At 37.5% G+C, this 13,665-nt stretch overlaps 1 protein-coding gene across 3 annotated transcripts in view; it reads left to right on the forward strand.

Moving 5' to 3' along the window:
- SLC27A6 (solute carrier family 27 member 6) overlaps positions 1-13,665 on the forward strand; it is a 68,148-nt gene that overhangs the window by 25,236 nt on the left and 29,247 nt on the right. The gene's annotated exons all lie outside the window — the stretch shown is intronic.

Below are 13,665 nucleotides of genomic sequence, written 5' to 3' on the forward strand. Positions count from 1 at the left end.
TATAGCTCTATTAGAAGCCATGGGTCATGGAAGAGAACCGTGGAACCCAGCGACTAGTGTTCAGCTGGATTAGGACGAACCTGGGCACTTAGCCATTCAGGAACAATGGCGAGCCTCTAGCCCGATTGGGAGCGGCAATGGGCACCTTGCTGGATCAGAAGCAGAGCAGACACCCTGCTGGATCTGGAGGGGTGGAAGTCAGCAGCGGGTCTGCGATGGCGGAGATCAGCAGTGGTGGACGGTGAGCAAAAGCTCAGCTTGAGCCAGAATAAACACAGACCAGAAGAGTATGCAGTTGCAAGATTTAATAGAGTGAAAACAGAACTCTCATACAACGGGAGGCGACCCAAAGCAGGTTGCCACTGCCGGCTCAAATGCCTGGGTTTATATCTGGATCTTTGTCCCTCCCCCTGTGCTCTCAGGTGATAGATGATTGACTATTTCTTTACCTCCTGCTTTTAGCCTAATTGGTATTTTAGTGAGCTCTCTTTATGACCTGATTGGCCGGGTGTGAGCTGAGTTACAAGCCCCATGTTTAAAGGTAGGTGCAGTCACCTTCCCCAGCTAGGCTTAGGAATTCTTAGTCGGCCTAGGAAATCCAGCTAGTCCTGTCTCTCACCTTCTTTCAGAACATAATTTAGCTGACTTACAAAGATGCGTGCAATACCCCAAGATAAAATAAGACAAGTGAAAGAAAATAAACAGAGAGCTATCCAAGAATGTACTAATGTGCTTTGTACTGTAGCAGGATAGGACTGACCCAAAGACTGTGTTTAGACTAAAATTAAAATTTCTATAAACATAACACGCATCAGATTATGAAATTAGATTCATGCTATGTTTACAGAAAGCAATTATTCTAAGGTTAAAATAATCTTTTAAAATGCTGTTCTTTAAAAAAATAACTACTGACCACTGACACTGATTATAATTTATTTTCTATTTTTTCTTTTGAATAAGTGATTATATTAGGATATCTTTTTGTTTTACTTTAAATTAAAAAAAAAAACCCACATTGCTTTGATTTGCACTTGTCTCCTTAACTGAAGAAGTCATTTCCACATTCGTTTGATCAACTGCCACCATCTGAAAAACAGATAAGCAGAGACAGTTGCAATAGCCTGAAGTTTATCTTTATTGGTTCATTTGTTTTTTTGCCCTCAGAAGTTATTTTCTTTTTCCTGCTTTCGTTTATCTCTCCAAATGCTTCTTCTTTAACTTTATGATTTTCTAAACATTCTTGAGACTATAAAGAAGTTACTTTCTTTAATCAAATTTATTTAATTCTTTATATTATTTTATTATTATAAATTATTTATCTTTTATTATCTGATTATTTTAAACATCAGATCCACATCAGCCCCTTCAAGAATGACAATAGAGTAGGATATTGCCCTACGTGGGGTGGGGCAACAGAACCTTGGCCTTTGAGACCCACCTTTCCTTGACTAGAGGATCTCTCAATAGAGTAGGATATTGCCCTACGTGGGGTGGGGCAACAGAACCTTGGCCTTTGAGACCCACCTTTCCTTGACTAGAGGATCTCTCACTTATCACCTCTGCCATCATCACATCTGCTTAAGGCATGAATGGTGTGCTGGGATATCTTCTCTTCTCTTTGGCTAAAATCTGGCCATGTAATTTTTCAATTAATTACCCAGAGCACAGCTGACACTAGGCTGGAGGCATTTAAATAAGACTTTTTCATTTTGAGCTTGGAGTTCACCAAGGAGAAACCTCCAGTCGAGCTTCTGACCCACCTCCCTGTGGCAGAAGCCATCCTTACTCATTTTTTGCCTGGAGTGCTTCAAATAACTATAGATTCCACAGATTCATAGCCAAGACAAAGAGTTCCAGATAAATGTTTTACATTTTTTAAATATTTTTCTCTTCAAGGAGACCTTGCCTCAGGTAAGGGAGGTAGTCTTAATCTAAAGAACCCCAATAATACACTTAGAATGCCACAACCTCACATATTTTATCTTCTAGTTTTCATTGTACTTTTTGGTAATGTGATATCTGGACTAGGTTAATTTAGGGAATTAATGCCCTCCAGTAAGATTAAGGTCACCTTCAGTTGAGATTTCATGACTTTAGTACAGAACACAGTAGGTGCTACCTAGTGAAGCTCATCTGCTTTCTAAACCATGTGCTCCACCATTCCTGTTTCCTCTCATCCTTTAATAGTGACATCAGTTTGTGTAATGTCATTGCTCAGTAAATATTTATTGAATGGTTGAATACATGAATTTACTTATTTCTAAAATTTACCAACTTAATGCTGCATTTAGTATCTTCATGCAATTGAGCTAATGTAGGTTTTCAGAAGTGAATGTAAATAGCCAAAGTATGTGGATACTTTTGCGATTTATAGAAAATATTTCTAAATTGCTGTTCAACATGGTTGAAGTGATTTAGAAGCTCATGCACATTGTAGGAGTATGCCTGTTGCACAGTGTCTGTCAGTACTGGGTGTTATTAAAAATAGTGGTTTTCCAGTTGTGCTTCTTGGAAAATTAGAAGCTCTTTTAAGCTCCCTCAAAAGTCCTTGAAACATGGTGAGTAAGAGTAAAAGCAGGCCAATTTCCAAGGCCCACCCTTTCAAATATCATGAATTAAACCCAATTTCCTGAGCTCCTCAATAATGCTTTGTTTGAACAAAGGATGCCTCAGTGGTTTTTAATTAGAAAAAGTAAATTCGATTATTTACTTTTGTTTATAATTTTATAGACTAGAAACAAACATATATTAATGTGCTCTGTTAAGATTACTGGCAAGGTGGGACAGTTTTCCAGCTGTATTTCCCTTTAAAAATGTCTCTTTTGTGTCTTGTACTCATTTATTTGTCTGGTACATAATGTTTTACCTTATCCAGTTGAACTCCCACTTCATATAATAAAGGTATTAATAGTTTTTCATATTGATTACAAATCTTTTCTCAGTGTTTTTCTTTAAATTTTTTAAAGAAATGAAATATTCTTTTTAACTCTCTGAATCTGTATTGCACTGATTTGGAGGAAATATTATAGCTTCGGAGAATTTGAGAGAACTGAGAATTGAAAACAGAATGCCTGATTGCTTTTTAATTAATTTAATTTTTAGGGGTGGGCATGGTGGTTCACGCCTGTAATCCCAGCACTTTGGGAGGCCAAGGTGGGCAGATCACTTGAGGTCAGGAGTTTGAGGTCAGCCTGATCAATATGGGGAAACCATCTCTACTAAAAATACAAAATTATGTTTTTGTAAAATACAAAAATACAACATGGGGAAACGATCTGTACTAAAAATACAAAAATTAGCCGGGCGTGGTGGCGAGCACCTGTAATCCCAGCTACTCGGGAGGCTGAGGCAGGAGAATTGCTTAACCCCGTGAGGTGGAGGTTGTGTGAGCCGAGATTGTGCCACTGCACTCCAGCCTGGGTGACAGAGCAAGACTCTGTCTCAAAAAAAAAATTAATTTAATTTTTAATTTTAATTTTTAACTAAATCTCTTCAAAGAAAAAATGATGTTTATCAAATAATCTGCAAATGCTTACCTGAATGCAAACTGAGGAGGAAAGAAGGAAATAAATACAGCTTTACCCAAAGGGAAACTTAATAATTTTTTTTTAAGCAGAGAAGCATTGTACTACCTAATACCCTTTGTTGAACTCACACAAAATGAGTACAAGCTGTTCTTGGCATTACAAATTAGGAAAAGGAGAAAGTCATTCTGTTATGACATCTTTTCCCTTCAAGGAGATCTTACATTTTTGCTGTCCAATATTCCTTTCAATGACATTCCCTTGAAATGAAGGGGCAGTTTCTGCTGCCCAGCCAGTACATCAGTGGATTCAGGTAGAGCCAGAGAATGAACACGTGACATGGTCCAGGTCCTTACCTTCAAAGAATTAAAATTGAATGTCTCATAAGCCATGGTTTGAAGCCCCACAGACAGTTATTTAAAAGAAAGCAAAACCATGTGGTTTTAAAATAGATTCAGATTTGTTGACAATCTCAGGGTAAGTAGCATATTCCAAAGGAAATTTACCTGCAGGCAGAAGTCAGAATGTGAGTTGAATGTTTATGTGTAGTTGCACAAAGACTCCCTAGGGTTGGCTTTCTATGGCCAGAAGCATTTATCCTTTCCCATCTCTCAAACATGCACCCTATTCCCCACTGCTTCTCTTTTTCAAAACTCCAGTTACAAAAGTTCTTTTGGCATAAACGTTAGATGTACTTCTTTAAAACTGCTGGCAGCAGCATTGTTTTCAGAAAAAGAGACTGACTCCTGTTAGTCATGGTGAGATGAAGTTGTTCTTCTCTTCCCCTGAGACTAGGAAAGCAGCTCTCCCTCACTTTTAATCTTCCAAGTTTTCTATGTCACTAAAGCACCATCATACAATCTGATTGGGTCTAGTTCTATATTTTCTTAATACTAATGTTGTCTTTAATATTGATTGGTGAGGAATATGTTGGAACTCTAGACATCAGTGATCCTCTAGGGGAGTCTTGCTGCAGAGTTTGTCTTATATAAGCAATTCCACCTAACACAGTCAACAGTTAGCCATATCTAGGGATATATCTAGGGATAGACCATATATGTAACATATTCATTTCCTCATTCATTCATTCATTCAAGTAATATTGTAGGATTAGATATACAGGACACACAGGACAAATCAGACTGCTTCTCTCTTAGAATTTATACTCTCTTTGATGAGGGGGAGAGAAAATAAACCCAGCAAACACAGATGAAAAGTAATTACAGACAATGACAAAGGTTATGAAGAAACAAAACAGGGTGCGGTGATGGAGAATGATGGACTGTGGGAGTAGGACATTGCTAATTAGATTTGGTGGTCAGGGATGGCTTCACAGAAATAGTAATCTATGAGCCGAGGACCTGATATGACAAGTGGGATCCAGGCACAGAAAAGCTGGGAGGTTGCCGTCATGACAGAAGAAACTCAAAAGGAAGAGCCCCACAGAAAACACCACCTGAATGTTTGAAGAGAAGGAGGGTATGCTGGGCCATCCATTGACTAGATCTTGTAGGGCTTGAATCTTTGTAATCTTGGAGGAGAAACTTGGATTTTATTCCCATCAGAGTAGTTGAAAAAAGATGAAGGAAAAACTGGAAAAAATTAGACCACTTTGGGATCTATCTTGAAGGAAAGCTAACAAGACTTGTTAGATCAAGGATAGGAAGTGAAGGAATGGGTAGAATCAAGGATAAGTCCCAGGTTTTTGGTTCAAACATGTAGGCAAATTATGAACTATTTGCTGAGATGAAGAAAACTGAGATTCGAGGAATTAAAATTAATTTTTTTGATCTGTTAAGTTTGATATATTAGGCATCCAGATGAATAAGCTAAATAGGCAATTGGATGTAGGAATCTGAAGCTCGAATAGTACAAAAGACAGGACCTAATTAACAAAGCAAGGACCTATAGTGTGATACATGTATGATGCTTATTTTTCAAGCTACTATTTGTAGTTTGACATTTAGGCTATATAATTTGTCTATATATGTCAATGTAGAACACCCACATTTTGACATTCTCAAGGCATAGTCTATACTTATTAGGAATGCATTTTCTAAAAATTATATCCCCTTTCCTTATTTTGTTTTCTTAAAAGCTAAGAAATTCCCTGGGAGCCAGAAAACATCCTTATGATTCTGAATACTTTTGGTAAAGAATATTGAAATTTGACAAAATGTCTTACACTTGACTCCCATTATAAAAAGAGAGGTGTTTTAAAGTATCAGTGTATTCATTAAGTATTTTTATTCATTTTTAAACTTTACAAATTGTGTTAAATTTTTCATTAGTAATGCTTAGACAATCCTGCAGTGAGCCCCTAAGAGTTTACAGGTTTTTTTTTATTATTTTGTTTTGTTTTTCTGAGGCTGACAAGATGAAAATTTTGGAACACAAGAAGTGATTTATGGCAGTGTGAGAGTGTTTAAGAGTTCAATTAGAAAGGAAACCTGCTTTCTTTTCTCCAAAAGAATGTATCATTCCTTTCAAGAGTTTTCTTTGTCATATCTAGATATGATATGGAAATGAAGAAGATTCAGTAGTGCCAGAGAATAAAATTCCAATAAGGAGAGATCGAATGATGCTATCTTGATCTTCGTATCTTGAACTTGTTTGTTTGTTCATTTGTTTCGCCAGTTACTTTTTGAATGGGACCAAAGACGGTCATAAGCTAAAATCTTGGCTTTACTTTGTACCTGGTTAAGTGCATTCTATTTATTCTTTTTTCTTTATTGAAAATGGGCATATTAAAAATATTCTCTCATCACATTTTCATGTTCTTAGTTTCTACATAACTTCAAGTGTTTTATCATGTTTTCTCCTTTTCATGTCCTTTAAAAGATGTAATCAATCAAAGTACATAGTTTTGGAAAACTTTTCCCACCACATTTTAGTAACTTTTTAAAAATAGCATTTTAAAATTAATGTAAACTTTAATTGTTATCAAGATATTCTGATATAGTTTCATTACAATTCTCTGTAGCTTTCAAAACAATTGATTTTGCCTGTAAGATCTAGTTAAAGACATTTATATATTTTTTATTATTTGTATTCCTCAAATATTTGAAGCATATTATATGGTTGAGAAAGTAATCTCTCTTTCAAAACCCAGTTTTCCTTAAATAAGTCAAAGATATGTTTACATTGTTATAATAGATATAAAAGCATTTAGAGAAGTTGGTAAGCTGCCAGAAACTCTTTTCAGCTTAGAAACTGTAAATGTAGAAATACAAGGGGCTAACATAAATAGCTGTTAGCAGCCTGAATGCTAGTGGAATTACACAGGAATTTGTGAATATTTTGGAGTGTTTTAGAACTATGTGTATATATTAAAGGCTTTTTATAAGTGCTAATTTTAATAGTTAATGATTCACATTTCATAGGTAGCAGTGCATGTAAAATATACACATCTTTTTCTATCTGTCCTTTATGCCATTTATGCTAATTCCATTGAGGATACATATATCCCGTCTTTGTAAAATTTCCCAAGAAATTTAGCTTTATGTAGGAAACCATCTGATAGTGCATTGGCTACGGAATCTAATGACATAGGCTTAATTTCAAGCTCCTGTTGTTTGACTTTCAGTTGCTCACTTCTTTAAGCCATAATTCTTCTCTTTATATAAAATAAGTAACAATACCTACTTCTTCTAATTGGCCCTTGATTCTCATAATCCAGTTATGAGATATATGTGAAAAACTGTAAACAAGGAAGCCGAATACAAATGGAAGGATTTTAAACAAAATGTAGGTTGAATGCAGTGACTCATGCCTGTAATCCCAGCACTTTGGGAAACCAAGGCACGAGGATTGCTTGAGGCCAGAAATTTGAGATCAATTTAGGCAACATAGTGACAGTCCCATCTCTACAAAAAAAAAAAAAAAAAAAAAATTAGCCAGGGGTGGTGATGTATGCCATTAGTAGTCCATGCTATGGGGGAGGCTGAGGTGGCAGGATCATTTGCACCCAGGAGTTTGAAGCTGCAGTGAGCTATGATTTCACCACTGCCCTCCAACAGCTTGGGTGACAGAGCAAGACCTTGTTTCAAAATAAAAAAAGTAATATTTTACATGAATGTATTTATAAAATTAGAGTAATTTTGTAGAATGTATTTATAAAATTAGAGTAATTTTGTAGAATGTATTTATAAAATTAGAGTAATTTTGTAGGTATTGAAAACTAATTGGTCTTTGACTAATAAAAATTACATAATACTGATTGTAAAATTCCATATAAATAGATCATGATCATTTTAAAATAAAACTTTAATAATAAAATATTAACAATTTTATAGTGGCTTGTCACAAAAAGACTAAAAATAAAAAACCAGAAACCCTAAAAATATTATGCATATCTCCTCTTAGATTATGTATTCTTATTGTAGATGTGGTGTGTTAGTAAGATTTTCCCACATTTGATATTAATTTAACATTTAAAAACTTATGTCCAGGATTATTTCTTTGAGTATTCATTTGCTATTTTTCACATTGACTATTCCTTAAATTTTCTATTCCTGAACTTCCTTGCTATGAACACATAAAGTGAAGGTCAGAAATGGTTAATCTTTGTTCTGCAGTGAGGGCTTATCAGGAAATACAAGAATATTCAACAAATGATAAACTATTAGAATTCTCCATGATCACATCATTTTTATTCCCAGCGGGGGTAAAACACAATGAATTAAGATCAAGGATTTAATGACAACTTTTCTATTAATTTACCATGTGACATAGGGCAATTCATTGAATTAATTTATTTGCCCCTTGGAGTTGGGGAGCCTGAAATTTAAGCCTAACCAACAACCATGTCTTATGAGCTTTGTGATCTTGGGCTAGTTCTTGTTCTTTCATCTATATAATGAATGTAATAACAATTATATCCAGAGGTGATAGGATGATTAATGAGTTAACTCAAGTAGAAACAGGTTGACTAGAACACGGGGTGCTCTCTGGAAGAAGCTTCACAAGATTTTTTTATTATCATATTGAATATGCCAAAACTGAAGATGTAGTCTTCAGCCTTCCAGGACCAGAACTCAATTTATCAGTACATGTCTTTAGGTTGGACTCATATAAACCAGGCTCAAGAATGCCAGTTTATGGCTTCAAAGTCTCTTCATTGCTGGACCTTCCCTGATCTTCTTGACTAAATGTTGGCATGCCCCTGACTCACTCTCAAACCTTTACTCTTTACGCTATATTGTCACTCCATGGATAGGCTCCTGGTTGCAAATACCGTCTACAACTTAACTCTCAAATTGGTGTCTCCAATCCTGTCTTCTCCCTTGATTTCTAGTTTTTTATATCTAGATTCCTACCTGACATGTCCACTTAGAAATCTGACATCTTACCTCAAAAATAGCCAAAGTCCAACTTTTTACACCCCGCTAGTTTATTCCTTGTTTACTCCAGCCTATCTGCCTCCTTGCCTTTCCTTCAGTACACCAGGACTTTCCTCCCTTGGACTGTTCCCCCCCTGGATATTGTATAGCTCACTCCCTAACCCATCAAATACCTCCTCAGAGTGGGCTTCTCTGACCTCAAGCTCCACTAATGTCTGTTGTGTTCACACTACCAACTTGATGGGCTCCCTACCCAAAGTTTGGGTAGACTGATGTTATACATGCATCAAGAGAATACAAAAAGGTTAACTACTGACAGACCCTTCTGAGGAGAGAAGCAAAGAGTTCCAAGCATGTCCAAAAATGGCTGGAGAGCAGGGGAAAAGACTGGTTCAACTTTTATTTGATAAAGGAGCATCACTAGGGTGAAAGTTCCTGGGCATTTAGGCCTGTATATGTTGATCTGAACATACAGCTGGTGCCCAAAGAAAGAGCACTGGGCATTCTCATCAGCTTGCTGAAGAGGAAAGGATAGTGGTGCGGTGTGAAAGCTGTGAGCAGTCACGCATGAAGAATGGAGATGGACACTGGATTATGAGGTCTGTCTTCTTCATGAAAGTGTCTTCTTTCACTGCTTTATGTTTCTTCCTAGAGCTTATAATTCCATTACATATTTTATATATAACCTCTTTCTTTATCTCTCTTAATCTTCTTCCCTCCACTATTGCATAAGTTCCATTATGTATTATTATATCCTTAGTGCCTAGAATGGTGCCTGACACATAGTAGATCCTCAACAAAATTTGTTAATATTTAAACAAAAGAGAGTAGCAAATAGAACAAGTCCAGTTGCTGGGATACTTGTGTGCTCATGACCAACATAATCTTTCCCTAGTCTCAGACCTGCAAGGAAAGCTAAATTCTACAGAACGTTGGTGTTTCTGGAGGGGACAAAGTCCAACAAGGGAATTTGGATAAATCAAAGTTTCTATCGTTGCAGGCAGGGAGTTGGGACTCTGATGCATTCAGGTCACTGCAGAAATGACCTTGCTAATGGGACCCTGCACTTTTTGGAACGTTTCATTAATGAGCGCTAGTAGTTGTAGCTCAGGTGACAGTTTTTCTGAGTTTCTAGGAAAAATCAACCTCCCTTCACATCTACGCATCCTTTTCTTAGGTGATTTAACACAGTTATTCAAGTTAGAGCCAAGTCTTGCAGACCGTTGGAGCTAGTCTTTCTCTACAAGGTGCCTTTGAATGTTCTGGGTCTGAGGCATTTGCTTTCCCTCCACTGTTCTCCCACGTGCTGCAGGATAGAAAGCAGCTATTCAGAGTAAGTAGTCTGTAAGTAGCAGTTCCTATCCCTGTACTATTATGTCTGGAAAATGAGTTTGAAGTAAGCCGACTTTGTGCTGTAACACTTGAAATCACAGAAGTCTTTTCAAACTATCTTTTGTGCCTTAAAATCTTTGTTAAACTGATGGCTGTCATCTCTGAAACCACGGCCCACCCAAACTCAGGCTTGAGTTAAAGGCAACATTGAAAAGATTTTCAGGGGCAGCTGGAACCTGTGCTGTCTTGACCTTGTAGGCCACTCATTTTAAATACTACCAAATCCTTTCTTAAAAGAAGTGCATACTCTCTCCCCACACCACTCCTTTCCTGCTTCAGTAAAAGAAAATCTGTTCTTCTGCCCCAGTTTATGCCTATTTTTCTGCCCCAGTTCTCCGACATCCTGTTCGCATTTAGTGTTACTTCTTACTGGCTCTGCAATAGCCATTTGACTTGGTGTCTATATTGTTTCAGTGTATAATATTGGAGTGTCTGTGAAGAAAGCAAACTGTTGGAATGTTTTATCTTTCTTATTATTACATAAGGTGTGTTGGTGTGACACATGTATATATATAATTGTGAGCAGGTTTTAGGAAAAAGAAGTCTTATAATCCCTAACATATGTTTATATTTTAGGTGATCTTTTAGGAGTTAGATCATGCTTTTATGCATTAAATGGTTAGTTATCTAAAGCTGAAGGCAGAAATGATTTGCTTCTTTGTTTTCATGATGAATTTGTTTCTTTTGTGTCTCTCCACCTATCAACAAACATTCTTTTGTTTCATGAAAAATTAAGGTTGATATAAAATTACCTGTATTTAAACAGAGCTTGAGAGGTTCACTTTTCTTAGGCATATAAAGAGGTTATTCAGCCTGAGTATGTTAGAGATTCTCTAAGTAGGAATAACCACATGTTTTGGAAGAAAGAGGCTTTGTTTTTAGAAAGGCATTGTTAGAGGCCTGAGTATTTCGGGAAATGAATAAATAAATTCTTGACCTTGTAGGAGGTACCTACAGTTCAACTTACTGTGCAGCAGCTCAGCAGACACTGCTGGGAAAACATCTCTCAAATAACCTTTTGAAGAAACCAGAGTTTTGGTTCAAGTTGATGTGACTACTTTATTGGTATCATCACATCAATTTGATGAATGGTCCTGAAAGCTAGAGGGAAATATCTATTGAAATCCAAGACCTTGGGATGTCTGTATTAAAAGCTCTGGGCCACTAAGCAAGTTCTCTTAAATTTTAAAAGGAATTTTAAGTAGTTAACGATGAAATGAGCATTTTCTACATGTTTGAATGTGGCTTACTCAATGTGTGTATGCAAACATATAAGCATCTGACAAATAAAACTGAAATATTCCAGTACTTTTTCAGCTTCATTGAGTAAAGAACAAAACCACTGAATTAGAAACTCATGTTTTGATGACTTCCTATTACTGAAACCATGGGAACAGGATCGGTAAATAGAGCATGGGCTTTTGAGGCTTTGTAAAGCTGGTTTCCTCCCCACTCCCTCCATTGTTCCCTCTCTTGTTCCTTCCCTCTCTTGTTCCTTCCCTCTCTCGTTCCTTCCCTCTCTCGTTCCCTGGTTCCCTCCCTCTCTCCCACCCTCCCTCACTCCCTCCCTTCCTTTCTTCCTTCGTTCCTTCGTTCCTTCCTTCCATAAATGTGTTGTGAACACTTCTTATGCACCAGGTCCTATTGCAGGCCATGCTCTAGGTAATGAGGTACAGCAGAGGACAGAGCAGACAACAATCCCTGCCTTTATAGAGCTTACATTTTAATGAGTTCAAATTATCTCTGTATCTTATGTGAACTTGGATCTGAACTTCATTTCTCCATATGCAAAATGAGAATAATTCTTCTTCTTTTATAGGGTTATTGTGGTGATTAACATGAGACAATACAATACTTTGATATGGGGGCTCAAGCATGTTCTCTCTTTGTTTCGCCTGACCTGGCAGCCCACATGGGTTTTGCTGCTGTCCTGCATTCTCTGTATTTGTCCTCTTTCTTGCTGTTTCTCTACTTTGGTTTTTGAGTGTATCTGTGGGTCTCAGTGCCTTTATTTCTATGTGCACCCGAGTCTTCTTATTTGTGTGCTTTGGCATGTGTGTCTCTCTCACTGTGTCTTTCTTTTTATATGCCTCTGTATGTCTAGTTTGTGTCTTTCTTTTTTGATCTGTGTGTGTGCGTGTGCCTGTGCACGAGAGAGAGAGAGAGCAAGAGAGAATCTGTGTGCATACATCTCTGTCTCTGCATTTTTCTCTCTTACAGTGTGGGTTTCTCTCTGTCTCTGTGAATTTGTCTAAGTTTTAAAATCAAAGTTCTGTGAAAAGGAATTTGAAAGAAAGCAACTTTATTCCCGTGAACTGTTTGCAAACTGTAAGATACAGCCTTTGCTGTGAAACTTAGGTACATTCCAGAGAACAAAGGGAAGGTTGAGTGTTTATAGCAACAGTTCCTGCTCAGGTTTCCAATCAGGTCCATTTATGCAAATGAAAGACTCAAACTTGCTGAGTTTTGATTGGTTGATGTAGCTGAGTTCTGCTTGATCAATTCAAGCCACAGCTTATTGGTTGGTTCAGGAAAAATGAACAAGAAGAGTCAGCTATGAAAGCCTTAGCAGTAGGCCAGTGCAGTAGCTCATGCCGATAATCCCAGCACTTTGGGAGTTTAAGGTGGGAGGATCACTTGAGCTCAGGAGTTCAAGACCAGCCTGGGCAATATAGTGAGGCCCTGTCTCTACAAAAGTAAAAAATTAGGTAGGCGTGGTGACACATGTCTGTAGTCCCAGTTACTTGGGAGGCTGAGGCAGGAGGATTGCTTGAGCCCAGGGGTTCAAGACCAGCCTATGCAACATAGTGAGACCTCATCTCTACAAAAGTAAAAAATTAGCTAGGTGTGGTGGTGCATGCCTGTAGTCTCAGCTACTTGGGAAGGTGAGGTGGGAGGATTGCTTGAGCATGAGAGGTTGAGGCTGCAGTGAGCTGAGATTGCCCCACTGTACTCCAGCCTGGGTGACACAGTGAGACCCTGTCTCAAAAAAAAAAAAAAAAAAAAAGAACCTCAAACTCAAAGTTAAGCAGATGTGTGTGAGCTTTCTGAGAACTCAGAGAACGTGTCTGACCTCTAGTCAAAAAACAGCTCATTGGCTCTATTTTATGTTTAGGCCCAGTTAGCCACTCAGGATTTATCTTGAGGAATTGTCTCATTCAGGTTCATATTTGGATCGGTACATGAATGTGTGTGAGTGTCTCTCTATGTTCCTCTCACAGTGTGAGTCCCTCTGTCTCTGTGTGTGTCTTACTGTGTTTAGGTTTCTATAATGTCAGTTTGACTCTGTCTTTTTTTCTGTTTTGTTCATTCATATTCTTGCTCTTGCCTGCCCTTTCTCCCCTTGCTCCCTAGCTCTGACTCTGTCTGGCTCTGTCTCTCACCTTTTTCTCTTGTTCTGTGAGTCT

The sequence above is a fragment of the Homo sapiens genome, chromosome 5 (assembly GCF_000001405.40).
Source record: "Homo sapiens chromosome 5, GRCh38.p14 Primary Assembly".
In the NCBI taxonomy this organism is placed as follows: Eukaryota; Metazoa; Chordata; class Mammalia; order Primates; family Hominidae; genus Homo; species Homo sapiens.